The 27,432-nt window shown below is 43.2% G+C and overlaps 1 protein-coding gene across 17 annotated transcripts in view, besides 11 other annotated features; it reads right to left on the reverse strand.

Moving 5' to 3' along the window:
• PRICKLE1 (prickle planar cell polarity protein 1) overlaps positions 434–27,432 on the reverse strand; it is a 132,990-nt gene continuing 105,991 nt past the window's right edge. For 9 of the 17 annotated variants that reach the window (NM_153026.3, XM_017018840.2, XM_047428327.1 and 6 more), the window contains 7 exons: positions 16,062–16,241; positions 13,923–14,036; positions 13,127–13,264; positions 12,303–12,506; positions 9,871–10,057; positions 8,072–8,935; positions 434–4,342 (listed from right to left, as the gene is read on the reverse strand). In NM_153026.3, the coding sequence (NP_694571.2) occupies positions 3,486–4,342; positions 8,072–8,935; positions 9,871–10,057; positions 12,303–12,506; positions 13,127–13,264; positions 13,923–14,036; positions 16,062–16,193 (2,496 nt within the window). In that variant the 5' untranslated portion in view covers positions 16,194–16,241 and the 3' untranslated portion in view covers positions 434–3,485. Of the gene's footprint in view, positions 4,343–8,071; positions 8,936–9,870; positions 10,058–12,302; positions 12,507–13,126; positions 13,265–13,922; positions 14,037–16,061; positions 16,242–26,461; positions 27,293–27,432 lie in introns of those variants that run through there. The other 8 variants (XM_011537947.3, XM_047428334.1, XM_047428333.1 and 5 more) reach the window with 4 other exon arrangements.
• Positions 8,442–9,641: an enhancer, noted in NCBI's record as "BRD4-independent group 4 enhancer chr12:42858567-42859766 (GRCh37/hg19 assembly coordinates)". NCBI's record gives its function as "activates an origin of replication core promoter dependent on BRD2, P300/CBP, MED14 and CDK7 cofactors, and independent of BRD4, by STARR-seq in HCT116 cells {active_cell/tissue: HCT116}" and the evidence as "EXISTENCE:reporter gene assay evidence [ECO:0000049][PMID:35650434]".
• Positions 13,181–13,280: an enhancer, noted in NCBI's record as "active region_6212". NCBI's record gives its function as "activates an Ori minimal core promoter by ATAC-STARR-seq in GM12878 lymphoblastoid cells {active_cell/tissue: GM12878}" and the evidence as "EXISTENCE:reporter gene assay evidence [ECO:0000049][PMID:35858748]".
• Positions 13,291–13,340: an enhancer, noted in NCBI's record as "active region_6213". NCBI's record gives its function as "activates an Ori minimal core promoter by ATAC-STARR-seq in GM12878 lymphoblastoid cells {active_cell/tissue: GM12878}" and the evidence as "EXISTENCE:reporter gene assay evidence [ECO:0000049][PMID:35858748]".
• Positions 19,018–19,087: an enhancer, noted in NCBI's record as "active region_6214". NCBI's record gives its function as "activates an Ori minimal core promoter by ATAC-STARR-seq in GM12878 lymphoblastoid cells {active_cell/tissue: GM12878}" and the evidence as "EXISTENCE:reporter gene assay evidence [ECO:0000049][PMID:35858748]".
• Positions 22,855–22,944: an enhancer, noted in NCBI's record as "active region_6215". NCBI's record gives its function as "activates an Ori minimal core promoter by ATAC-STARR-seq in GM12878 lymphoblastoid cells {active_cell/tissue: GM12878}" and the evidence as "EXISTENCE:reporter gene assay evidence [ECO:0000049][PMID:35858748]".
• Positions 24,440–24,640: a silencer, noted in NCBI's record as "peak1687 fragment used in MPRA reporter construct". NCBI's record gives its function as "represses an SCP1 promoter by STARR-seq MPRAs in K562 erythroleukemia cells {active_cell/tissue: K562}" and the evidence as "EXISTENCE:reporter gene assay evidence [ECO:0000049][PMID:32103011]".
• Positions 24,954–25,565: an enhancer, noted in NCBI's record as "OCT4-NANOG hESC enhancer chr12:42875079-42875690 (GRCh37/hg19 assembly coordinates)". NCBI's record gives its function as "activates a minimal SCP1, AML or CMV promoter by ChIP-STARR-seq in naive H9 embryonic stem cells {active_cell/tissue: H9 hESC(naive)}" and the evidence as "EXISTENCE:reporter gene assay evidence [ECO:0000049][PMID:30033119]".
• Positions 26,590–26,659: a silencer, noted in NCBI's record as "silent region_4364". NCBI's record gives its function as "represses an Ori minimal core promoter by ATAC-STARR-seq in GM12878 lymphoblastoid cells {active_cell/tissue: GM12878}" and the evidence as "EXISTENCE:reporter gene assay evidence [ECO:0000049][PMID:35858748]".
• Positions 26,780–26,899: an enhancer, noted in NCBI's record as "active region_6216". NCBI's record gives its function as "activates an Ori minimal core promoter by ATAC-STARR-seq in GM12878 lymphoblastoid cells {active_cell/tissue: GM12878}" and the evidence as "EXISTENCE:reporter gene assay evidence [ECO:0000049][PMID:35858748]".
• Positions 27,050–27,099: a silencer, noted in NCBI's record as "silent region_4365". NCBI's record gives its function as "represses an Ori minimal core promoter by ATAC-STARR-seq in GM12878 lymphoblastoid cells {active_cell/tissue: GM12878}" and the evidence as "EXISTENCE:reporter gene assay evidence [ECO:0000049][PMID:35858748]".
• Positions 27,170–27,429: a silencer, noted in NCBI's record as "silent region_4366". NCBI's record gives its function as "represses an Ori minimal core promoter by ATAC-STARR-seq in GM12878 lymphoblastoid cells {active_cell/tissue: GM12878}" and the evidence as "EXISTENCE:reporter gene assay evidence [ECO:0000049][PMID:35858748]".

Below are 27,432 nucleotides of genomic sequence, written 5' to 3' on the forward strand. Positions count from 1 at the left end.
TAGTGACTGACCAGATACTTTGAACTCTTGTTAAGTAGATCTAGTAACAACTTTTAGAGCAACTGGGATGGGCCAGGGTGGAATGATATGGTTTGGCTCTGTGTCCCCATCCAAATCTCATCTCGAATTGTCATCCCCACCTGTGGAGGGAGGGAAATGATTGGATTATGGGGCCGGTTCCCCCACTCTGTTCTCATGATAGTGAATTCTCACGAGATCTGTTGGTTTTATAAGGGGGCTCTTCCCCCTCTGCTTCCTTCACAGGGTCTCTCCACCTGCTGCCATGTAAGACGTGTTTGCTTCCCCTTCTGCCATGATTGTATTTCCTAAGGCCTCCCTCCCCAGCCATGTGGAATTGGGTCAGTTAAACCTCTTTCCTTTATAAATTACCCAGTCTCGGCAGTTCTTTGTAGTAATGTGAGAATAGACTAAGTCGGCAACTATAGGCTTTATTTTCTTGCCAATTCTTTACAGAACTGTAAGGCAGTTGCTTCTTTCTTCCGTTGTAGATAGTCTTCTGTTATTGCTACAAACTGGGATTAATTTTTAAGCTTCAAAGTTACATTATTGCCAGACGCAGTGGCTCATGCCTGTAATCCCCTGCACTTTGGGAGGCTGAGGCAGGTGGATCACCTGAAGGTCAGGAGTTCGAGACCAGCCTGGCCAACTTGGTGAAACACTGTCTCTACTAAAAATATAAAAAATTAGCCGAGCATGGTGGCAGGCACCTGTAATCTCAGCTACTCCGGAGGCTGAGACAGGAGAATTGCTTGAACCCGGGAGGCAGAGGTTGCAGTGAACTGAGATTGTGCCGTTGCGCTCCAGCCTGGGCAACAGGAGCGAAACTCCATCTCAAAAAAAAAAAAAAAAGGAAAAGAAAGTCACATTATTATTGTGAATAAATATCTGCATTTCCTTAAGCCTTTGGCAGGCTATGTTACCCCTATCTTTTGAGAATGTACTTGAAAAGTGAGGGCAGTACCTTCACCTTATACCTGCATTTCTTCAGGCTAAGTATCACCTGTTTACTATTTATTATCCATCCTTTATAAGCAACATATTGCAACAGTCTTTTCTAAAAGGATGCCCACTTGTGGCAGCACAGGTTCTGAAAATTTCTTCAAAATCAAGAAATCTGCTAATACATTGAGAGGTTGTGATGGAACAAACACTCTCATTTACATTACATTAATGTAAATCAGGAGAATTTCTTTTGGAGGAAAATTGGCAATATCCATCAGTCTTAAATACGTAACCTTTGTCCCAGTAACTACGCTGCTCCCGATTTATGTGCACATGTGCCAGTGTAGCATAATGTATGAGGAAAGTCAACTCCATCATTAGGAGTAGGCTATTAAGCAGTCACTGAAAGAATGGGTAGACCTATATGCACTAACGTGAAATGTCCACATACAAAGGGAAAAAAGCATGTCACAGCACATATAGGTCACTACCACTTTTAAAAGACACATTTATACGAATGTGCTTTGAATGTCTGAAGGAGACACTAAAACTGGGTAAGAGTGGTTACTTCTGGGGAGAGGACCTGGGGGACTGGGATGAAGAATGGAAAGGAGATGCTGTCTCTGACTTTTGCCCTATTTGAATTTTTTTGTCATGTGTATGCACTTCCTTTTCATTGCTGATGGTTTTTTAAAGGCACCAGACCAGGGAATGTAAGTTACTGAGTGAAGAACTCTCTCACCATTGGTGCTTTTCTGAAGGGAATCTGTGTAGCCCAGATACAAACCCTTGTGTGGGACGGCTGTCCACCTACTACTCGCTGGTTTACCCATTGGACTTGTGTCTGTCCTCCCTAAGGCCAAATTTTCCCCACTCCAGTCTATATGGAAAAAATAAGCCTCTGTGTCTGAAGCCCTATTTCTGGCCTACAAGTGGGGCGTGTGGACACACGAGACAAATGGAGGTCTGTTAATGGTAGGGCAACTGCAAAATAAATCATGCCTGAACACAGGCACAAAATGGAAGTTATCTGGATACATTTGCAAAGATTTATATTCAGAAAGGTAGTTTTGTTATTTATTAAGTGTTTATTAAATGCCTCCCTAAAGGTCCTGGATGCCACTAGAACCTTTAGTTAGGACTGAGATGTATATGCAAGAGTGGCACATATCAAAATATCTGCTCATTGGTTCAGATCCAACGTAAGTTTTCCTTGAACCAGAACCTCATATTAACTTACAGTACTCAATGGCACAGCATCCTCTAATTTAAAGATTTTAAAACAAAAACATAACCAGAAGACCCAGTTTTCAAAATTGCTGTTAAAGGCCAACAAATTAGTGGGAGGGAAGGAATAAAAAGGAATAACCTCTCTTAAAATAACAAATCTACAAAGTCCTCTGCCACAAAAGCAGATCTTTGTCATTTCCCATGAGATAATCATCACCTTGCTGAAAATGAGAAAGGCACCCCCCGCAGGCAGGGGGAAAAAACCCACTCGCTGAAACAGCTTCTACTTGTTTTTACCATATATTCCAGGGGTTATGTGTGTGGAGGGGTTGTTTTTACATTTATACAGTTTACATTGCTTGACCCATAAGTAACACTTGTAAGATTAATAGGGCCATAGTTTTAAAGAGTACTTACATAGCCCCACCATGCATACAGAGCCTTTTTTAATATTGGAAAAAAAAATCAAAAAAAGTTGAATTTTCCATCACTAGGCAATGTAAATTTGACCATCTACATTTATAAACCCTGACTAAAATATAAGCAATCAGTTCATCCATAAATTCTGGTTCCCTGGCAAATCTAGCACTGCAGCGTAACAAACGGCTTACAATTCAGGGATATAAAAATATCAGCTTTAAAATCTGAACTGTACAGTATATACATTAATATTTGCACCGTTAAATTAGGAATACACTTAAGTCTATGAAATACTAAGTTATAAATAGCAATGTTTTTTGTTTTTTTTTTTCAATCTGTAGCTGGCGCTGATACAATACAATGTTTACCTGGCCAAAGAGGGTTCGAGGGGACAAGCTGGCCTCACAATAAGATGCACAGTGTTAGCTAGGTCATCGTGACAGGCATGCCTCACACCAAGACGGACTATCAAGACCTGAGCCGACCTGACTTACATAAATGACAAACACTAGTGCTTTACAAAGGTGGCTGGAGTTCTCCATCTTCTAAAATCAACATCCAATCCCCTTCAGTCAGCATCTTCAGTATTCCCTTGAGGACTGGAAAACCAAAGCAGCTACGTCCATCTGTAACGCACCCGCACCGGACAGGCACGAGATGTCACGTCCACCTGGCACCATCCAAAGAGGGTAAATTGGAGAAATCACACCTTTCAAATGTTAATCTGACACTGTAAACAGCAGTTGAGTTCTCATTTACATGGGCAAAGAAAGCACTTTAAACTATTTTCACAACTTTCCTACGGAAGAAAAGGAAACGATTCAGACGGTTAATGGCTAAGTTTTAAACAAATGCTCTGCATCACTACTTGGTTAAGAAATAATACAATTTTTGCCCTTGTGTCCCTTTTTCTTCTTGGATTTTGTTGTCCTCTGACCAAACTGAGGGGTGGGAAGTGCAGATGGTGGACTAGAAAGGTCATCTGTATAGTAGGCAAATCTCTGTGGCCGGGGTTGAGGGATTGGTTGTCCAAGAAAATATCCTTCTTCTTCCGAGTCGGAAGAGGAGGAGGAGGAAGAACACCAGGAATCATCATCCTCGCCGTAGAGTCCCAGAAACCGATTCATTCCTGGGTTCTGCAGGCCATAATCGGAAGTGGCATGGGCGTACTGTCCGTAGAGATCAGCATTCTGGATGTATGCTTGGATCTCCCGGGCACTTTTATTCTGTATAAATTTCTCATAGTTATCGGGGGTGTACAGCCGCAGTCTGTCCTTGGGAGAGTATTTTCTTTCTGTAACAAGATTCAGGGCATTGTCGGAGCGGGACTTTCTACTTCTCCGGCGGCGGTGGTGATGAGACCTGGATCCCCTCTCTTCAAAATTGTAGACGCGTCTCCGAGTCCTTTCACTCATCGGAGGCTGCCGGATTTCAATGTCATAGTTCCCATTGTCAATGACATCATCAGAAAACTTGACCTGCTGGGGTCTGGATTGAGACTTGGACCTTCTGAGCACTGGCAGATGTACTGGCTTCTCTTCAGGCAGGATTTTCTCTGGACACAACTCTGAACTTAGACTCTTTAAGGACTCTGCACTCCTGTGCAGCATGGAAGAGTTCAAAGTTCCCATATTGCTCATCTTCTCACAATCTTCTGTTTCCATCTCCTCAAAATTTTGCAGAGAATACAATGATGGCCTTGGCTTGTTTTCTCCATCCACCGAAGCCCCTAGAAGAGAGGCCAAAACAAGATGTGCTTCTCAATCATCCTAATATTCGACAGTACTTAAAAGTAAGCTACTGAAAGGAAATATTTCAAAGAAAATTTCCAATCTCAATATTTGATTAAAACCCATAGGGAAAGCCAACATGTATCTATGCCAATTGAGAAGTGGTATAAATGCAGTTATTGTTATAAGGGGTGGGCACAGCCTTTTTTGTTTTGTTTTTTTGTTTTGTTTTGAGACAGAGTTTTGCTCTAGTTGCCCGGGCTGGAGTGCAATGGCGCTATCTCGGCACACCACAATCTCCACCTCCCAGGTTCAAGCAGTTTTCCTGCCTCAACCTCCTGAGTAGCTGGGATTACAGGCATGTGCCACCACACCTGGCTACTTTTGTATTTTTAGTAAAGACGGGGTTTCTCCATGTTGGTCAGGCTGGTCTCGAACTCCCGACCTCAGGTGATCCACCCACCTCGGCCTCCCACAGTGCTGGGTTTACAGGTATGAGCCACTGCACCTGGCCTGGGGCACAGGTTCTCTTATAAGCCTGGAGTCAAAGATTAGTTAAGTAGTTACGGCACATGGCATGAGCAGCAAAACTTTAAGAGCTCTTCACAGCAGCCTGTTCATTCATTAACATAAGATGTAGAAGCTTCTGCTCCTCAATTCATTAAAGCCACACTGCTTCATTTGGAGATCTTTCACATCAGTCCCTCCTTGGTCTCCATCATGAGCTAGTCTTCCTCATCTTATACTGAGGCTAGTGGTCAGCAAACTACAGCTCAACAGCTTGTTTGTGTATCAAGTTTTATTGGAACAGCCACACCTATTTGTTTACATATTGTTTATAGCTGCTTTCTACAGTGGCAGAGCTAAGTAGTCACACCAGAGACCGTAGGCCTAAAAAGGGCTATCGAGCCCATTATAGAAAAGGTTTGCTCAACCCCTGACCTAGATCTTCATCCAGTCTTTTCTGCCTTCAACGTGTAAAATATGCCACTTCCAGATTAATCTTCTATTGAAACATTTAACAAAACAGATATTGATCTCTTTTGATATAATAGGACCCAGGCATGTTAAGATAAATACATATAGCCCTATAGACAAAGTGATACTGTTGTCAACTGGAGACTACATAACTTCGTACTTATTTTTTTTTGAGATGGAGTCTCGCTCTGTCGCCCAGGCTGGAGTGCAGTGGCACCATCTCAGCTCACTGCAAGCTCCGCCTCCTGGGTTCATGCCATTCTCTCACCTCAGCCTCCCGAGTAGCTGGGATTACAGGCATGCGCCACCACGCCTGGCTAATTTGTTGTATTTTTAGTAGAGACGGGGTTTCACTGTGTTAGCCAGGATGGTCTTGATCTCCTGACCTCGTGATCTGCCCGCCTCGGTCTCCCAAAGTGCTGGGATTACAGGTGTGAGCCACCGCGCCCGGCCCTATATAACTTCATACTTTTTAAAGGGGGCCTATTTTTCAGCTTATTATTGTCAAGGAATGTCAGCCCCTAACACTTAAATGTGTACCAAGTTATGTTTAATTCTTTTATTTATTTTTTTTGAGACAGAGTCTTGCTCTGTCACTCAGGCTGGAGTGCAGTGGTATGATCTCGGCTCACTGCAACCTCCGCCTCCCAGGTTCAAGTGATTCTCCTGCCTCAGCCTCCCGAGTAGCTGAAATTACAGGCACATGCCACCATGCCTGGCTAATTTTCGTATTTTTAGTAGAGACAGGGTTTTGCTATGTTGGCCAGGCTGGTCTCGAACTCCTGACTTCAGGTGATCCACCTGCTTTGGGCCTCCCAAAGTGCTGGGACTGCAGGTGTGAGCTACCACACCTGGCCAAATTATGTCTATTTCTGATATTAAATTTAAAACTCCTAGCACTGGGCCTGGCAGACAAAAGGTGCTTACTCAGTCTCACCCACCATTCTTCCTCAACTCCCCTTTATTGCCGGCCTTATCTTTGACAAGTCCACAGAAGCCGGGGGGGTAGCTTTGCCGTACCCTTCCTTGTCACTGCAGTGTCTGGCACAAGTTATTCCTGGCAGGAAGCAGCTACTAAGCCTTTCCTGTCTACATTACAGAAGCATTACCTTCATCAAAGGGCTGGATGTCAGTAGTTTGACTATAAAACTAGCCATGCAACAGCAACATTTCTATAATCCAAAGACTTGTTGCAAATAATTTGCATAATGTCCTAGGTTCTAGGCCTAATCTTGCCTTTAGAACCTATGTAATGTTTGGCATTTAGCCTTTTGGTAATTCAAGTTTCCTCATTTGTGAAATGCAATCATATCATCCACTCTATATAGCTCAGGGTCATTTTAAAGATAAAATGTGGATAACTGGTATGACTGTGCTTTGAAAACATTAAAGTAGGCCAGGGGCAGTGGCTCACACCTGTAATCCCAGCACTTTGGGAGGCCAAGGCAGGTGGATCACCTGAGGTCAGGAGTTTGAGACCAGCCTGTCTCACAAAAATTAGCTGGGCGTGGTGGCAGGCGCCTATAATCCCAGCTACTCATGAGGCTGAGGCAGGAGAATCGCTTAAACTCAGGAACCTGAGAGGCAGAGGTTATAGTGAGCTGATATCGCGTCATTGCACCCCAACCTGGGTGACAAGAGTGAAACTCCATCTCAAAACAAAACAAAAAACTAGGAAAAAAAAGAAAACATTACAGTAATATTTTAGAATCTAAATAAAAAGTATTCAGCTGTTTTTGAGCTACTGTCACAGGGAAATTCAGGAAGATGTTTAAAAAAAAAAATGAGCTTGTGGCCAGGCGTGGTGGCTCATGCCTATAATCCCAGCACTTTGGGAGGCTGAGGCGGGTGGATCACCTGAGGTCAGGAGTTCGAGACCAGCCTGGCCAATATGGCGAAACCCCATCTCTACTAAAAATACAAAAATTAGCCAGGTATGGTGGTATGCACCTGTAATCCCAGCTACTGGGGAGGCAGAGGCAGAAGAATCACTTGAACCCGGGAGATGGAGGTTGCAGTGAGGTGAGACTGCGCCATTGCACTCCATCCTGGGCGACAAGGGCGAAACTCCACCTCAAAAAAAAAAAGAGCTTGTAAAGTGTGTGGGCCAATTTTGGTATCTTAGAATACATACAGAATAATTCAAGCGTACAATATCTTTCAGACACAATCCAGTTGTACACTCCTTCCTCCAATCAATTTCCTTCTCTTCAAAACAGGGTAATAAAACCTATCCCTAAAGACTGCACTGTAAATATATTTTATGCACATGCACTCACCTCACACATGTGTTTGTTTTGCTAGTGTTTGGTATTTAAGTGAGGTTCCTTCCTTCCCTTGATCCATGGTTTTGAATAACACACAACTCCTACTCATGCTGAATTGCAATTTTTTTTTTTTTTGAGATGGAGTCTTGCTCTGTTGCCCAGGCTGGAGTGCAGTGGCGCAATCTTGGCTCACTACAACCTCTGCCTCCTGGGTTCAAGCAATTCTCTTGCCTCAGCCTCCCGAGTAGCTGGGATCACAGGCCCATGCCCAGCTAATTTTTGTATTTTTAGTAGAGCCGCGGTTTCGCCATGTTGCCTGGGCTGGTCTCGAACTCCTGACCTCAAATGATCTGCCCACCTCAGCCTCCCATAGTGCTGGAATTATAGGCATGAGCCACTGCGCCTGGCTTGAATTGCAATTTTTTGAATACACTTTTTAGTAGCTCCTTTTTTCAAATACCCCATAATCCCTAGATTACGTACCTGTGATATTGGACAATGCCAAAGAATCCATCGAATCCCGAACACTTTGCTCTGGTTTCAGGTCTGACAGACACTCCAGGGAATCTTCATACCACTGTGTTTCATCATGATTATACCCTGAAGCCCCATGGTCCAGTTCCAATTCCTGAAGCCTTCTACTGCTTGCAGGGCCTGGGTGGCTGCCATAAGCAGAATCGCCCAGTCCATCTTGTGACTGTGCCCAGTACATATCAGACTGGTATTTTTTACTTGCAAGGCTCTGGTTATTTTGCTTTAACTCGGTCTTACTTTTAACCATGTTATCAGATATCCAGTGCTCACTGGCTCGAATATCCATCTCATTGGGCTGTGGCTGAAAGAGGCTTTTATCACCAAACTTGAGGAGGAGCTGCGTCATATAATCTTCATGATCAGCCCATTCTTCAGGGTCTTCTGGAGTTTCCTGCTCTACTCTGCCTTTCCAAAATTCTTCACTGGCAAAACTTGTTCCTTGTCTGGAGAGACTCAGATCATCCAATTTTCGAGAAAGGGTGTCATCAGCATTGCCTGAGAGGCCAGGAAACTTGTAGTTCAGAGCAGGCGATAAGAGGAGAGACTGTCTACACTGATCTGCTGACCGGCTGCTCTTGCCCATTCGGACACTTCTTCGGGAGTCTCTTGATCGAGCTGACTGAAATGCAGAGTCGGAAGAATCAGAGGCATGGACGTCTTCACCAAGACTGCACGTTTTTGAGCAGTAAATCTGACCCTGTTTGGGAAGGAAGGGACATCCCAACAAAGAGGCTTTACACTGGGCACAAGAAAAGCAGGCTTCCGTGGCGTGCCAGTGCTGCCCGTCATAGGTCATCTGTGCATGGTCCACACCTGTTTTGAAAAGGATAGAATAAATAACAGGTTATGGTTTAATGCCTGAAACAAGGTATAAGGAAGAAACGAAGAAAATAAATAAAGATTATGGGTATGGGGGAGCTGTGTGGGTGACACAGATATAATTAATCCTCATTCTTTGTGGATTCTGTATTTGTGAGTGTGCCTACTCATAAAAATTTATTCACAACTCCCAAACTAATATTCGCAACAGTTTCATGGTCATTCGCAGATGTGCAGAGTGGTAAAAATACGAACTGAACCAACATGCACTGATCCAGGAGATGCTCAGCTTTTTGTTTCAGCTCTCATACTGTAGACAAGTGTCCTATTTCTGGTCTATCTACTGCCGCGTTTTCTGCATTTTTGTGCTCTTTGTTGGTGAGTTTACTGTTTAAAATGGCCCCCAAGTGTAATGCTGATAATGCTGAAATGCTGTCATGTTGCTAAGGGCAAGAAGGCTGTGATGTGCCTTACAGAGAAAAGACATGTATTACGTAAGCTCCTAATCTTGAGTACGGTACCACTGGCTGTGAGTTCAATATTAATGCATCAACAATGTACATTCAATAAGGCAGTGGCTTTAAGCAAAAACACACGTGAAACAAGGTTATGTATTGATGGGTTGATGAAACTGCTGTGACCAGAGGCTCACAGGAACCTAACCCTGTATTCCCCCATGAGCAATGGTTCAGTGTTCACTAATCCAGTGTTTGCAGTAACGTCACAGAACACAACTACTGCAAGTAACAAGAATCAACTCTCTGTTCATTTGTCAAAGCTCATCAGCTGGAACATTTAAGATCTGTACATTTCATTGTATGTAAATTATATCTCAACTTTAAAAAACAGAAAAAGAAAAAATAAGACTGGATAATCCAAGACAGACTAATGGCTAGGTGACAGGGCAGACGGGCTGGCTGTGGACTTACCAATATGTTCCCCACAGGTTTCACAGTACTCCGCATAGAGAGACTCAAAACAGCCACAGCAGAAGGGGCGGCCGTCCTTCATGATATACCTCTGTCCTCCCAGGACCGTTTCACACTCAAGGCAGCAGAAGTGTTTCATGTGCCAATGGCGACCCTCAGCTTCTGTGCACTCATCAGCAAAAATTATCTTCAAAAAGAAATGTGAAACCAGAGAATGAAAGAAAATCATTAGGAACTATTTTAAAGGCCAAGTAACTGCATGTTTTCCGGGCAATGGACAGACACTGGCTCTTAAAAAAATCAGATAGCTAACCTTGTTTCTTAGAGTCACAAGCTTAAATCTAACACTTGATTTAGCTACAAACTAGAGCATAAATTGACAGTGCTGAGAAAACAAACTAAATAATAAATGCTTGCTTTGACTTTAAAAAAACAGAATTCTACACCGGAGGTAATTCATTTGGTCATATTTTTGCTCCCCAATAACATTTTCTTGGCATAATCTGGCAAAGAACACATTAACACGGAAATAATTTAGTGAAATAATTTGGTGTTTTAGTAGAAAGAAAACTCATAAAAATGTCTGTGGACTCAACACAGTTATAGCTACACAGATGCTGGAATTGAGTGAACAGCATTTGTGTTGATAATGCTTTATTTGACTTGGTGGCCATCTCTAGATTAAGGACTCTTTATTTTTTTGAGACAGGGTCTCACTTGTAGCCCAGGCTGGAGCACAGTGGCACAATCATAGCTCACTGCAGCCTCAAACTCCTGGGCTTGAGCGATCCTCCCACCTCTGCCTTCTGAGTAGCTGGGACCACAAGGGCACAACCACCATGCCCAGCTAATTTGAAAAACATTTTGGGACAGAGACGGGGTCTCACCATGGGGTCTAGTCTGGTTCTTTTTTTATTTTTATTTTTATTTTTTATTTTTTTGAGACAGAGTCTCGCTCTGTCACCACGCTGGAGTGCAATGGCGTGACCTCGGCTCACTGCAACCTCCGCCTCCTGGGGTTCAAGCAATTCTCCTGCCTCAGCCTCCTGAGTAGCTGGGACTAAAGGTGCATGCCACCATGCCCAGCTAATTTTTGTATTTTCAGTAGAGACGGGGTTTCACCATGTTTGCCAGGATGGTCTCTGTCTCTTGACCTCGTGATCTGCCCATCTCGGCCTCCCAAAGTGCTGGGATTACAGGCGTGAGCCACCGAGCCCGGCAGGTTCTTTCATTTTTTTTATATTTTTGGTTTCCAAAATATGTTCAGCGGAGCATGGTGGCTCACCCTGGTATTCCCAGCATTTTGGGAGGCTGAGGGAGGTGAATCTCTTGGGGTCAGGAATTCGAGACCAGCCTGGCCAACATGGTGAAGCCCGCCTCTACTAAAAATACAAAAAAAAAAATTAGCTGGGCGTGGTGGTGGGCACCTGCAATCCCAGCTACTCGGGGGGCTGAGGTGCAAGAATCACTTGAACACGCGGGGCGGAGGTTGCAGTGAGCCAAGATTGCACCACGGCACTCCAGCCTGGGCAACAGAGAGCAACTCCATCCCAAAAAAATAAATCAAAACAAAACAAAAACAAAAATATGTTCAAATAGAACATTGTTGAAAAAAATGTATAAAGTAAATGAATGTATAAAAATAAAAACAAAGTTTATTGTCATAGATTGAAGGAGACTAAGAAGATACAACGAGTAAATGCAATGAAGCACCCTGGATTGATCTTGGATAAGAAAAGGAGCATCTGTTAAAACACTGGGAAAATCTAAACAAAGACTATGGTTTAGTTAATGGTATTACACTGCTGATAATTTCTTAGTTTTGATACATATATTATGGTTATGTAAGACGTTAGTGTCAGGGGAAGCTGGGAGAAGGGCATGCAGGATCTCTCTGTAATAGCTTTGCAACTCTTCTGTAAATCTAAAATTATTTTAAAATAAAAAGCTAAAGGGAAAAAATTTTTCCTTTCAAGCCATCATCCATTCCCACCTTCCCCGAGGGTAACTACTATTAATTTGGTATTTGTCTTTCCATACCTTTTCTGAGCATAAACAAATACATATATCATATTGTTTTTTAAATTCTTAACAAAAATGAGACCATCTACTACATGCTCTTCTGCAGCTTGTATTTTCTCACAACCCACTGAAGACATAATACTTATCAAAGTACAAAGACATCTGCTTCCCTTTCTATCAGGAAGGTGAAAAATTAATTGCGGTTTTGACCATTATGGCAAAAAACCGCAATTACTTTTGCAGCAACCAAATATAGATCATTTCATTGTATGAATGTACAGGATTATGTTTAAAACATGCACACAGAACAAAATCCAGGAAATTTTAGTATTTTGCTTGATGTAAACAGTGGAATATTGGCTTAATCTAAGCTTATTTTTCCCAGTGTGAAAGGATGAACTTTTTTTTACCTCGTCACATGCTGAGCACCGTGGTTTGAGCAGTTCTGCATGGTGCCTGCCACAGTGAATTTTTCCATCCTGATAAAAATAGATGAGGTCGACCAGCAGCTCATTACACGTGAAACAGACAAAACAGGATGGGTGCCAGCACACACCAGGGCCCGCACGGGAGGCGAACACTGCAACTTCACCTCCATTTATCTTCAAACCACACTACAAACAAATGGGTTTGAATGTAAAAGGATCATTTTTTAAAGACAGGATTCTCAGGCTTTCCTACTTTAGGATAAATCTCGAATTTGTCAGGAATGTATTTATTTTTGCTACCTCTTTTAGTGATTAAATAGCTCTTTAATGCTGGATTACTGGTGATTCTCCACTGTAAGGCACGTGTCTCAGACATACTACAACTATTTCTAAGGACGGTGTAATCTGATTCACACAAATAGTGGTTTTCCTGTGCCAGCCTCCTGCTGGATACATTTCCTACTCTGAGAACTGCCAGCAAAGATCTGAATGTCTTCATTATGTTTCTGCATCTTTTGAATACGAGATGTATCCTAGCACCTACCTCCATGCCAGGATCCTACCAAAGGCAGGATTTCACCCAATGTTTGCATAAGGGTGACTGACTCCTGCTGTCATACACAGCAGTGTAGCTAGTTACAAATATGAAACATGATTTGCTATTTAATAAAAAGCTAGGCTGTCTTTCTCTCATTTTCTGGAGGCTTTCAGGACCCACACCTCTGCTAGTCCAGTCACCTACCCCCGACTGTCCACCCCATCCACATCACTGCCACAAGCTACGCATCAGAGAAGGGGCTGCTCACCTGCTCACACACAGCATGCATGACTGCTCTGGACAGAAGCTTAATTGTTCCTCTTCCCAGTGCTTCTTTCTTCCGCTGAGCACTGAACACCTGCAACTCTTTTTTCTCCTCTTCACTCAAAGACTGGCAATACCGTACCTTCACAGAAAGCAAAACAGAAACACCACACTGAGTGCACAGTCTTTCTCACCAGTTCTCTACTTCCAGAGTTAGGGTTTCAGGAAGTGAAACAGTAAGTTTAGCTCGCCTGTGTCACACCCCCACGATTTTAAAATGACACCATATCTGAATTTTACAGCCTCTCTAGAAAAAGGGAAATGCAATGTGAAGGAATACTTTTTTTTTAAATAAGAAATGTTTAATTGAAAACCCTTATCAACACAGAATTAAAAAATATATATAGGACATTAACCTTTCCACAAAAGGTTTAAACTTGTTAATTGCCACTTTTACTCTCCATTCTACATGCACTCAACTCAACTGCAGGCCTGAATGACCATAAAGCATTCACTCTGGATGCAGGGGCTGGGAAATCTCAGGAATTTGTAGGTTCCTGATCATTGGTGGGTGGCTGCAAACACTATAAAAACCAACTTGTGTTAAGTTTATTACACTGATACTCTTTTCTCTCTTTCTCTCAAAGAATGGAAAGCTGTATTCTCTGGCCAAATTTTAACTAAAGAAAGGCAAAAGGGAGCCCTCGCCAGTGAGGAGTTGGGGTTTATGAGCAGCATCTCAATGCTTCTCATGCATTTTTTCTTCTTTTTTCTAATTAGCCTTCTTCCTGCTATTTTACCTCATTATCATGTGGTGGTAACTGGTACAAAAGCTGTTTAATCCGATGCTTCTCTCCGGGGCTGTTAACGTAAGGAACTTTTTCCTCTGGTAAGCAAGCAAAATAGAGCTGGATCTGCAAAAGAGACAGTGAGAATGGCATCAACATACAGAACTGAGCATCTCAGCTCACTTAATCTTTAAAAGTTACCTTTCCCTAGGTACAGGGTTTGGCCTCTTGTAGCTAATGAGAAGACCAGCTGAGCCAACTCAGCAGAACTGCAAACCTTCAGATAACTAGCACCCAGCTGCTAAATTGCTCTTCAGGAATGTAATTTGTAGTGACAATTAGGGACATCATAAATTATGCACCATAAAATATGCACATTTAAGACCACTCTTCCCGGTGGTGTGGCTCACGCCTGTAATCCCAGCACTCTGGGAGGCTGAGGCTGGTGGATCACCTGAGGTCAGGAGTTCGAGACCAGCCTGACCAACACGGTGAAACCCTGTCTCTACTAAAACTACAAAAATTAGCTGGGCGTGGTGATGCACGCCTGTAATCCTAGCTACTCGGGAGGCTGAGGCAGGAGAATCGCTTGAACCTGGGAGGCAGAGGTTGCAGTCACCCAAGATCGCGCCACTGCACTCCAGCCTGAGTGACAGAGCAAGAATCCGTCTCAAAAAAAAAAAAAAGACTACTCCTCCTCAGCCAGTCTTCCAAGGGGTCAGACAAGAGATCAGCAAGAGAGAGAGTCCTGGGTGAATCCTGCAAATTACTACACAGACTGTGTGAAATGGTCCAAAATCCAGCCACTACACGAACACATTTAATTTGCTCTCTGAATTTTACACAACACAAAGACAAAGGCTGTTTTGCTAAATGTTGTAAACTCTTCTTTATCAGGTTCTCTCAAACATCAGCTTTCTTTGCTTCCATGAGTGCTATTTTCTGAATACCTGAAGTCAGCCTCCCCAGGCAAACTGGAGAGAAGCCACATTGAGCTGTACTTTGCTCACTCTGAAAGGAAAACTTAATTTCTGCTTGTTTGTTTTTCTGATGTCTTTAAAGGAACATCCCTTAATGAGTACTGCAAAGGATACTGCAGAGCTGAGAAGGAATAAAAGAAAAAAAAGACAGGAGACAGGAATTTAGGGCCTGTCTACTTCAATACCTTAGTACCACACAAAACCTACCCACTCTAAGTTGTAAGAAGGGATTCTCTCTAAGTAGTTTGTCAAAATATTGCTTTTCTAACTGCTTCACCAGCACTCCACCCTCTCCCCATTCTATCAGCTCTAGAAGCTTTTTACAGTTATAAACACTTACTGAATATCAGCTACATGCGTGCCAGGTACTGTGCTATGCCATGGATAAATAAGGATACCCTATTCTCATAAAACGTCCCACCCTACAGGAAACAGAACCCTAACATCAGAAGCAAAGCAACCACATACCCCACTGTCAACTTTATTTTCAAATGATGCCTCTGCTCTTTTAATAATATCGCCAGTGATTTTCAACAAGTTAATCATTGTAAAGATATTGGGAAAATTAAATAGGCATATGGAATGTTCTCATCTTCCCTAAAATAACAATACAAACAAAGCATAAAATTAACTCTTTAATTTTTTTTCCAATCCCTGTGGTGTAAGTGACAGGCTCTTTTATATGCAAAGTTATCAAAGGTCAAACGTCTAAGCAGTAACACTTCAGAGGGTTTCTGATAGCTCACTATCTCGCTTCCAAAGCAAAAGCATTGCTGAGAACTGGCATGGAAACTTTTCTCTTTTCTTTTATTGCCTTTTTGTTGTCACAGAAGTTTTTTAAAAGGGAAATTCCTCTCACTCTCAAGAGGGATTCATCCGAAATACACATAACCAATGCATATGTAGTACTCTGGATTTCATTCATTAGAGCAAAAATGGGATCCTTATGAGGCTTCTGGAACCATGGGTACGACGAGATTGGAAACTTCCATTGAGAAACTAAATATGACCTTCAAAAGTAAAACTTCAAAGCCATACAAAGAAGAATAAGGACTGAGGAGGGTGGTATTCCAGCATCTCAGTGATGTTCTATCCATTTACAAAATAATGTTCTAAAGTCTGAACTCACACTGAAAAACAAAGAGTAAATATAGGATGATGAAGTTCCTACCTGCTCTGGTCTCAGGCCCGGGGGGACCCAGGCGTACTCCTCCAATGCACAGCCAGAGTCATCATCTGATGTGGAACTTCTCTGACAGCCAAAGGCCAGTTTGCTCATCTTGGGCTCCATCTCCAAAGGCATAAAGTTTAAAGCCTGGTTTCTCAGTCACAGGACATCAAACAATGGCTGCTGTGAACAATATAAGAAAAAACAAAGACATCTAAAACCTGAATGCATTTCTCTTACCCCCGACCCAGAGCTTTTATTGAATGCTGTTAACAGACAGCTGGGCCCAGAGAAAGTAACCAAATTACTACTGTCACCACCCCCAGGCCCCAGGCCCCCTGAAATTTAAAATTTAGAGCTATATAATTTGGTAGTAGTCTCTTTGCCAGCTCAGAATTTCAGAACATGCCACCAAAGCTAGTTTATTTCCAGGAGCCTTTAAAAGGTGCCTCTCTACAGTCGATTCCTTAGAAAAGTTCTCAAGAAAGTTGATGTGTTGACTTTCTAACTTGCCCACAAATCCTTGTGACATACTGTAAGTTGTAGAAAGAAGTGTCGGGGTCAGGCTACCTGCCTTGCCCACTACTATGCCCCAGGAAAAATGGCTCAAGACCCCACTCGGCACCCCTGTATTTCCTAAGCAATTTTTCCAACTGAGGCAGTGCTGCCTCCTGAGAGTGGGTCCACTCAGCCAAACTGCTTAGGTTTCAGATTTCTAATTATGTTTTGTAAGACACTAAACTGAGTTTACACACAAAATAGAAATAGCACAATTAAATCCTTATACTGCACATTAAATCCTCAAGCCTTTACTAAGGGCTAAAGTCAGTCAGACATTCATCAGTGAGTTCCTTCAACAAACAGTCACTGAATACAGTACTATGTGAAAATAAAATCCAGCTTGGTGACTGTTAATGTTTAATTGCATCATAAGCAGGCATTCGCTGAAAAGTTATGCAGTCAGTGCCTAGTATGTGTGAAATGTCATCAGCCTGCTATGGGCAGAGTAAGATGTAAATCCTCCTCTGAATAAAAAGCCTCCTTGGATGAAGGGCTATAAAAGTGTCAAGACAACATTCCCTGCCCTAGAACCCAGGAACTTTGCTATCACCATTTATGTTCTTTGTATCTTCTGATTATTAAAATCATCCCTCATCCCAGGGCACAAAGAAAAAAATAATAATAGCAGAACTTTCAGAACCAGATGGAGAGATGGAGCTTTTTTATACCTGGGCCTTTCACCCACAAAAAAATGATGTAAAGAAAGAAAATTATAGATAATTATCCCGACCCAATGATTTTAGAGAAAACAAGATTCAGGAAAGTCAAGAGACTTGTCCAAGGTCATATGGCTAAAAGCCAGAGTCTAGTCACACATACACACTGACATGTCAGACTTCCAAAAATTCTTCTGCCTCAATAAACATTCTTCCATCTCAGGAAGGATGTCAAAAAAAAAAAAAAAGTTCTCATTTGCTTAAACAAGTGTAAAAGGCAGTGAAAAGCCATACACTTTCAGCCTGAGACTAAGTCATTTTTCAGTGACTATCTCAATTCAACTCTAAATACTGAGTGTTGGAAAATACTACCTATTAAAACCTTTGATTATTGGCCGGGCGTGGTAGCTCACACCTGTAATCCCAGCACTTTGGGAGGCTGAGGCAGATGGATCACAAGGTCAGGAGTTTGAGCTCAGCCTGGCCAACATGGTGAAACCCCGTCTCTACTAAAAACACAAAAATTAGCCAGGCGTGGTGGTGGGTGCCTGTAATCCCAGCTACTCGGGAGGCTGAGGCAGGAGAATCGCTTGAAACCGGGAGGCGGAGGTTGCAGTGAGCTGAGATTGCACCCCTGGACTCCAGCCTGGGCGACAGAGCGAGACTCCGTCTCGAAAAAAATAAAATAAAATAAAACTTGATTAAAATTTATGGTTTTTCTTTTATAAATGATAGGACATTGAGAAAATTAACATTGTAACAGTTCATAAATGAAGGGCAAGCACCTCATAGCTACAATCTTTATTAGCAGTAGGAGCAATGCCACACATATATTATTCCAACTAATAAATTTAACTTTCATTCACCCTGAACAAGAAGTGAAGATGACCTCATTTCCTACACTACCATTGGGAGGTTATGACCTTTTAAACAAGGCATCATTTCACACAGGTGCGACTCATTCATGTCTTGACTAAGGAAAGGCTTTCTAAACATAGGCGTATTCCTCTGACTCCTCAATAAAAAAGGATGTGTTAATGAGTCAGAAAATGTCTTGGATATTTTGAAAAAACCACTCCCACATGTCAAAGGAAGAGAACCAGAGGTTAAGAATTTAATTAGTAACTCTAAAACTCCTACCAGGAGAATGAGTGCCTTCAATGAAATTTAACCCAAATCATGAAATATGAACATCTGCCCCCTGCTAAATCAGGCTAAGCAGGGAGACACTAAGGTATTTGCTCTGCAGATTTACAAAGAACATAAATATTAAATAGAACCTAAAAATTAAATGTCACTGGATTATAAAACAAGAGAAAACATCACAAATTAAGACAAGCCATGGATTTTCCAAGCCAGCACAAAGATACAGATTGCCGAAGATGTGAATTACTTTTACAGCTGTACTCCCTGATTAGCCTTTTTGTGAAAAATGTGCAGTAAATTACTATCCTAATCAAGGTAAATCAACGTTAGCACTACATGCCACCATCCCACCATCCCCTCCTCCCAATCACCTGGAAGTTCTGGCCACATCTCAATCTTACAATTCCCACAAGTTCATTCCAGCCTTTCAACAAATTACACTGAGGATTGACTGTCATTCATGCACAAAGTAAAGAGTCCAACTGAAGGACATGAGTGACAATACCCTTTTCATTACAGGCATGGCTTTCTGTTTCATTTTTTAGCAGATGGCTAACTTACTTCTCCATGCCTGGCTGGTACCATTAGTGTTACGGCATTTAATCACTGCATCAAGCAACCCACGGTAAGTGGTGTCTCATTTAACAGATGGGGAAACTGGGCCTCAGAGCAATGTCCCTCAGGGTCAATTGCCCAAGGTCAGTAAGTGGTCTTAGGACCGGTCTTGGCTGTGATCCTAAACCCCTGCAACCCCACACTGCCTCCAGGGGGGGAGTGCTGATGGAGCCAATTCCTTTTTCTTTGGTGAATCAGCCAAGCTACCTGCGCTGCAGACACACAAAATGACACAACTGGAAGGTAGTCCACTTTACCCACGGAAGGCATTTTAAGGATATACAGTCAAAAAGGATTGTAAAAATTCAATGGCCTCATGAGCACTTGGTTCAGAGTTTATTCACTGACGAAAGTTTTTCTTTTTCCTTTATATCAGAGAATACTTAAAATGACAAAACCATTCACTCGCAAGTTCTCAGAGCTCATCAAAACACAAACATTAAAAAAATGTTGGCTGGGTGCAGTCGCTCACACCTGTAATCCCAGCATTTGGGAGGCTGGGGGGGGGCGGGGGCAGACCACCTGAGGTCAGGAGTTCAAGACCAGCATGGCCAACCTAGTGAAACCCCAAATCTACTAAAAATATAAAAGTCAGCTGGGCGTGGTGGTATGTCCCTGTAATATCAGCTACTCAGGAGGCTGAGGGAGGAGAATTGCTTGAACCGGAAGTTGCAGTGAGCCAAGATCGCACCATTGCACTCCAGCCTGGGTGACAAGAGCAAAACTCCGTCTCAAAAAAAAAAAAAAAAAAAGTTATATGGCATGGCCTCCACTGGGACCAGGCTGTGCTAAGAGTTGCTACATCATCACTAGCAACTTCTTTTTTCTTTTTTCTTTTTTTTTTTTGAGTTTTGCTCTTGTTACCCAGGCTGGAATGCAATGGCGCCATCTTGGCTCACCGCAACCTCTGCCTCCCAGGTTCAAGAGATTCTCCTGCCTCAGTCTCCCAAGTAGCTGGGATTACAGGCATGTGCCACCACACCCAGCTAATTTCATATTTTTAGTAGAGACGGGGTTTCTCCATGTTGGTCAGGCTGGTCTTGAACTCCTGACCTTAGGTGATCTGCCCACTTCGGCCTCTCAAAGTGCTGGGATTACAGGCGTGAGCCACTGCACCTGGCTAATTTTGTATTTTTAGTAGAGACGGGGTTTCTCCATGTTGGTCAGACTGGTCTCAAACTCCTGACCTCAGGGGATCTGCCCGCTTTGGCCTCCCAAAGTGCTGGGATTACAGGCGTGAGCCACGGCACCTGGCTTCTAGCAACTTATTTACCTGATAACACGAAAACTTCAATTTAGATTTTTCTTTTTCCTATTTATCTGTCACCCAGGCTGGAGTGCAGTGGCACAATCATGGCTTATTGCAGCCTGTCTACCTCCCAGGTCCAAACAATCCTCCTACCTCAGCTTCCCAAGTAGGTGGGACCACGGGCATGTGCCACCACACCAAAGTTTTTTGTTTTTGTTTTTTGTAGAGATGGGGTCTCCCTATGTTGCCCAGGCTGGTCTCAAACTCCTGGACTCAAAATATCCTCCTGCCTCGGCCTCCCAAAGTGCTGGGATTACAGGCGTGAGCCATGGCACCTGACTTCTTTCTTATTTTTAAAGATTGCTTGTACTTGCCAAGAGATCCTGAGAGTCTATTCTTAAGTATATCAGTCGGGTAAAGCAGTGGCAGCTAAACACAGTTCTTACGCTTGTAAAAAGTTACACTAAAAATTATAAAGACGTGGCCAGGCGCAGTAGCTCACGCATGTAATCCCAGCACTTTGGGAGGCCAAGGCGGGTGGATCACCTGAGGTTGGGAGTTTGAGACCAACCTGACCAACATGGAGAAACCCCGTCTCTACTAAAAATACAAAATTATCCAGGTGTGGTGGTGCACACCTGTAATCCCAGCTACTCGAGAGGCTGAGGCAGGAGAATCACTTGAAGCCAGGAGGCAGAGGTTGCGGTGAGCCGAGATCACACCATTGCACTCTAGCCTGGGCAACAAGAGCAAAACTCTGTCTCAAAACAAAACAAAACAAAATATATATATATACACATATTATATATATGTATATACATATGTATATATGTGTATATATGTATATACGTATATATGTGTGTGTGTGTGTGTGTATATATATATATATATATATATATATATATATATATATATATATATATATGACCTCACAAATAACCCTTCCTTAGGCATTTAAAACACTATATGGTATTTACTTTTGTAGCACAGAAGGAAGAAGGGAGCCTGGCCATTCCTTCTGCTCTGGGTCATGGCTGAAGGTCTTCCTGAGGATACCTAACCATGGTTGAATGTGGTCTGCCAAAACATCATGCTTTAAGCCAAGCATATGAGACCACAGGTAAATCAGACCTAATAGAAAAATTCTAATAACTTTATTTTCAGGTATTGTCTCTTAAGGTTGATCACATGAAACGGGCAGAATCAGGTTTAAAAGTAGGCTGCATTATAATGGAAATAGAACTATTCAAAGTTGGGGTTATGACAGAGTAAAACTTTTTTTATGATGCTTCTTTTTTCTTTTGTAGAACCATGCTTAGATGAACTAACAGTGGCCCTGCCCTATACTTTTTTTTTTTTTTTTTTGGTACAATTTTATTTGGACGTTACTTTAAACTTCCAAAAAGTTGCAATAGTAAAAGAACTCTGATGCATCCCTTACCCAGACTCATCAATGGTTTACATTTTGCTCCATTTGCTTTTGCATCATCATCCTCCCTCCCTCTCCCTCTTTCTCTCTCATATGTATACACACTTCTGTGGGATCCATTTGAGAGTGTATTTTTTTACATTCTTTTACCTAACCACAGCTCAAAACATCAGTATTCTTGACTATTCTAAGGCAGATTTATTGTCTTGGTCTTAAAATGCTGTAGCAAACTTAATCATAAATGAATGTCAACTATGCATTAACCAATCCTGTGCTAAGTTTGGAAATAAATCAATAGGCATCCTATTTCTCCAGTGTCTCTCTATAATTTTGAATGTAAATAAACCTCATAATGAAGGAGAAAGAAAAGCAAAACAGTTTTCAGAGATGGGTTTGTTCAGGTTCCAAATAGTCTGACCATTAAGGAGGTGTGTGGAGGGCACAAAACCTTTTAACAGCTACCACCACCATCAAAGATGGCATTGGGAGGGGGTGGTCAAGCACAAGGAACTGCTGTTAGAACTTAATTCTCTAGCAGGTTCATGAGTTCTTTGCAGACACTATTTTGAAAACTAAAAGCCTACTATCAGAGTCAAGTAGAGAAATAAATGTCAAACAGAAAAGAAGGGTATGGTCACAAGGGAGGTGAGAAAGAAGCCCAAGGTCATGTAGAGAGAGCTGGGATACTCTTTTTTTTTTTTTTTAGAAAGGCAAGGAATATCATGGGGCTATTCCATGCAATAGAAAATGGAACAGTTCCATTTCCCTCCTTTGTCCTTTCTCTCGCCTCTTCCTTCAAAATAGTTAAATAGCTATTTCTCATCATTAAAAACAAAGACAAGCAGCTAACAGATGTAAGACTTCTCAATCATCATTGTCAAGAGAACATCTGACCCAAAGGATAAGGGCTATACTTAGGGAATGGAATCTGATGCTCTCAGCATTCAGTAAACTTGGTCCTGATGTCTTCAAAGCTTTGACAAGTCAACAAACATCTTGAGACCTGATTTTAAAAAATAGCCACTATTTGCCTTCCAAAGATGGTCTAAGGATGTTTTAAAACAGAAAAGAATTTCACGACCATAAAGAATTAAAGCTCCTATTGCAACGTACCAATTGGCATTGCTGCTTCCACTGGGACTAAACAGACTTTCTTGAAGCTAACCAGTGACAAATGGAATTGAAACAATATGTTAATAACAAAACCTGAGTTTCATCTTCTTTTTGAGCTTGCGAGAGCTCTAGCCTTCTGAACGGCAGACAATTTTGCCAAGTTATTGACCAACGTTTCCAGCTGCTTCGGTAGCAGCTTCTAACCAGTCCCCACATAAAGCCTCCAATACCATACACATAGCGTGTGTGCGTGCACACATTCGCACACAGCATGTGTAGTGGTCTATGGAGCATGACAGTTTTTCTAGGTAAAGCTTGTTCCCCAAATTCAAGTATGGCCTTATTCATATAACACAGTGATATAATGAGGGGTTCCTTTGTGAAATTTACTTTCTAGGTTCATTCACTGCATTCATTCATTCATCCTTATATTTAAAGTTGTTATTGAACGGTTCTGGGGAATGCCAAAAGGAGCCAACTGACATTTATTCCATTAAAAGCCAGAACTTAGAAAGAAATGTAGCCACCGGGTGCAGTGGCTCATGCCTGTAATCCCAGCACTATAGAGGCTAAGGTGGGTGGATTACTTGAGGTCAGGAGTTCGAGACCAGCCTGATCAACATGGTGAAACCCCATCTCTACTAAAAATACAAAATTAGCCGGGCATGGTGGCGCATGTCTGTAATCCCAGTACTTGGGAGGCTGAGGCAGGAGAATTGCTTGAACCTGGGAGGCAGAGGCTGCAGTGAACCAAGATCATGCCATTGCACTCCAGCCTGGGCAACAAGAGCGAAACTCCATCTTAAAAAAAAAAAAAATTCCATTATTCATCTCCTTGCTTTCTTTCGTGGTGGCACGTGTAAAAATTATATGTGATTTAGCCTTCGGCTGATCATTTGTTTTCATTTTGAGCACAGTAGAAAACACTGGCTTCGGGATTCAAGAAACAGAATGGCCCCTGACCCATACATTTATGATAACTAGCAAACTTTTTGTAGGTTTTTTTCTCCCTGCTCTCATAATGTTTTGATCCCTGCTACCTGTCTCTTATTAAGGTGCCTTTCTCTTTTGCCCACAGCCAACAACCTCCAAACCTTTCAAAATTTGTTGCTTCCGGTATTAGGCAACCATTCTTTGAAAAAGTTTGTCTAAAAGTACACAGAAGCTGGGCATATGCCTATACTCTCAGCTACCTGGTGGCTGAAGTGGGAGGATTGCTTGAGCCCAGGAGTTTGAGACCAGCCTGGGCAATACAGCAAGACCCTGTCCCAAAAAAAAATCTATGTAGTAATTATGGCATGGACAAGGGCTTAAGGACTTCTCCTATAAGCACAGTAACCACTGGTGAAATAAGATAGCATACAGTGTGAGAAGGTGTTATTCAAACTAAAGAGAAGGTTTATTATTTCGTTATGCTATTTTGGCCACTTGGGGATCATTTCATTTTCTACTGGTCTGTATGCTGCTTCCAGGATAGCTAAGGATTATTATCTTGATTGACCTTGACATATACATAAATGAGCCATAACTATGTTTCTGTAAAGAGCTTAATAAGTCAGCACAGTATATGAAGGTCCAGAGGCAGTGAAGAGTGGACGGTTTTGCTAGAAGACAGATTCTTCCAAAGAAGCAACAACAGATGGCAATGGTGTCTGAATCCTATTTTCAAGAATTACACATTTCAGGCAGAAAACTGTGGGCTTATCACTACAGGCAATGGGAAGCTGCAAAAGACATGAATGGAGACTGCCACAAGATACTTCTGGGTCTTAAAGAAGATTAATATGGTAGTGATGGTCAGGAAAAAGATAAAGAACCTGAGAGGGGCCAATTAGTACACTGTCCCTAAGAAAGCTTACACATAGTGACTTGGGGAGGGAAAGTAAAAGGAACTAATAGGAAAGGAAGAAATTGGGCCAAAGACAGTTTTGAGTATTAGGTGATTGACATACCAATACATAAGTACCTTAGGGCAACTCAGAAGGGGAGTGAGGATTTGAGGGATTTCAGGAGAATGAGTTTAATCAGATACATATTGAGGTTGTAACTGTATATCAGGTCTGGTATGATTCCTATTATTCATAATTTTCTTGAACCAAGTCACCAAATCAAAATCATGCAAATAGAAAACAGTAATTGTCAGGGCCTGCCATTGAAAATGAAGTATAAGGTCATATCCCTAATTACATTTTTTTCTCCAATGCAATCCCACTCTAGTTCCTATATGAAGACTACCATGGCATTGTAAGATCCCTATGAAAAAGTATTTCTTGTGTGAACATGCCCAGGGAAGTTAGAAATCCTCTGATCACCAAAAGCCAGAACAGATACTGATTTGTGAAGTCAGTTAGGCCAACATTCCCTAGGTGTCCCCTGCTGCTAAGTGCCATCCGTGGGCTACAAACTGCTTAACAGCTTCTTTGTTAAACTGCTTGTTAACAAGGCCTTAGTGCATGGAAGATGCAGATCACAGGTTCTCCATTCAAAAGCTACTCCAATTCTCCCAGACTACATATGCAGGTGAATTAAATTTAACTACAGACTAATTTAGCAGTACAGAAACATGTCACACATCCATTCTTTTCACAATACAAAATATACCACCCTTATGGATATACACATTTCCTTGTTTAGGATGTCCTTAACTTCAATCGAGATGTGAATTTTCCAGTAAAAGAGACACTAAACTGTCATTTCTTTAAAGGTTTCACACACTCAAGGGGCATTCAGTGCTTACTGTCTACTAAAGACAAAGTCACTGCCAACAAAGCCCAATTCAATTTCACTTATTTGAAAAATAAAAACATAATGAAGTTATCAGGAGATATTGTTTATGAAACATTCCTTTACTAAGTTTTCCATACGAGCAATTAGTGGCATTAGGCCATATGCCCTTTAGTATTTTCTGTATTTTCCAGGTAAACCTCCGTCCAGCATTTTCGAGGTAAACCTCCATCCAGCTTGTACATTTCCCAACAGCTGAGTGGGCTATCACACATCACCCAATGGTCAAGAAACTATCCATTTTTCCAAGAGGAAATGTGGAACTCTTTCAAAGCATTCTAATTTCATGCACAAGTACATTCCATGACAGTAAGAAACAAAAGGAGGAAACATGACGACAAAGCCTGGTCCTCCGCCAGCGCGGCGCTTCTAGGGTCAGATTATCCGCACACGAGTATGTAAAGACAAAATCCAAAATGCATGCCATGGAATGAGGGGCACCACACAAGGCGGTGCTCTAATGAGCCCATTATTTTCCATAATGGGGGATGCAGATATTTTCTCAAAATCGTGTTCTCCTCAGTCTTCTATTGATTTTTTGGATTTCTATTTTCAACAGTGGCCCGAGGAAACGGCAGCCAGACTTGACTCCAATGTACACACAGACTCAGGTTTCGCCCCGTCACCTGTTGGCTCCTGAACAACACTCCTCTTTGTGAAACTTACAGCACCCATTTGAAACAAGTTTCCAGAGAAAACACTTCAAGAAAGTGTTTGAGAAGTCACAAGACTCGAGTTGTAAAAACAAATTCCACACATAGCCTGGCTTATAAGGACACAGACTAACGGGAAAGGCCGAGCTTTTAAAAATGGGGCTGGAGGAAGCGAGAAGGAAAGGATGTCACCGTACTTTGGGAAAACTCAGCCGGCCAATTCTTGATGGGGCTGCCAGTGATGGCTGCAGGGGGTCCCCTGGGTCGTCCCCATCCCCGCCGCCGCAGCAGCAGAGACGCCTCAGAGCGGGCGTCGGCGCCCCCTGGGCCCCGCAAACTCTGCGCTCCAGGCGGCGGCCGCTGCTTAGGCCGCGAGGGGGCGCCCTGGGCCGTGGGTCGACCGGCTCCAGCCCCTCTCTGCGTCCCCGGCCCCAGGAGCCAGAGGCCGAGCTCAGGACGCAGAGGCAGCGAGCGAACCCCTCCTCGGCGCCGACGCGAAGCCCCGAGAGAACAGTGCCCCTTGTCCTCCAGCATAGAACAGTCGCCTTCGAATTCCCCGTTACCCTCCTCCAGCAGAAAGCCTCGCGCCGCTCTTGGCGCCGTGTCACCTCCACGGAGCAGCACTCGCCCTGCGGCTGGACGGTGGGGCCGAGCAGCCACGGGTCCCCACGTCTGTCCCTCAGCTTCCAACGAGAAGCCCCTCGCCGGCGCGCACCCTGCAGCCCTCCCGCGTTCAGTCCCCGCCGCCGGCTGCCATCCAGCCCTGGGACCCAGACAGCGGCTCCCACCTGCGGCCCGGACAGCGGCCGAGCGCGGCCTGCAGCCCCTCGCGGCGCCGGCCCCTGAGCCCTCGGCGCGCACTAGCCGCCCGCCCGCTCTGCGTCTGAAGGAGGCTGGCGGCCCGGAGCGGGAGCGGAGGACTCCCGAAGGAACAGAGGGCTGGGTGCCCTACGAGTCACCCGCACCCACTCATTTCCGGAGGAGACCCCAGCAGGGTGGGGCAGCAAGCACCGGGTCCCCACTACATTGCAGCGGACCGCGCCCCCGGGTCGCGTCCCGGTGCTGGCCCCGCCTGGCGGGCGAGGGGTCGCCCCCGCCCCGCCGTGACGCACTTTCCCCCCCGGCCGGTCCCCGCCGAGCTCCCTGGCGGCGCAGCGCGGCGATCCTC

This window comes from Homo sapiens, chromosome 12 (genome assembly GCF_000001405.40).
Source record: "Homo sapiens chromosome 12, GRCh38.p14 Primary Assembly".
NCBI classification, from domain to species: domain Eukaryota; kingdom Metazoa; phylum Chordata; class Mammalia; order Primates; family Hominidae; genus Homo; species Homo sapiens.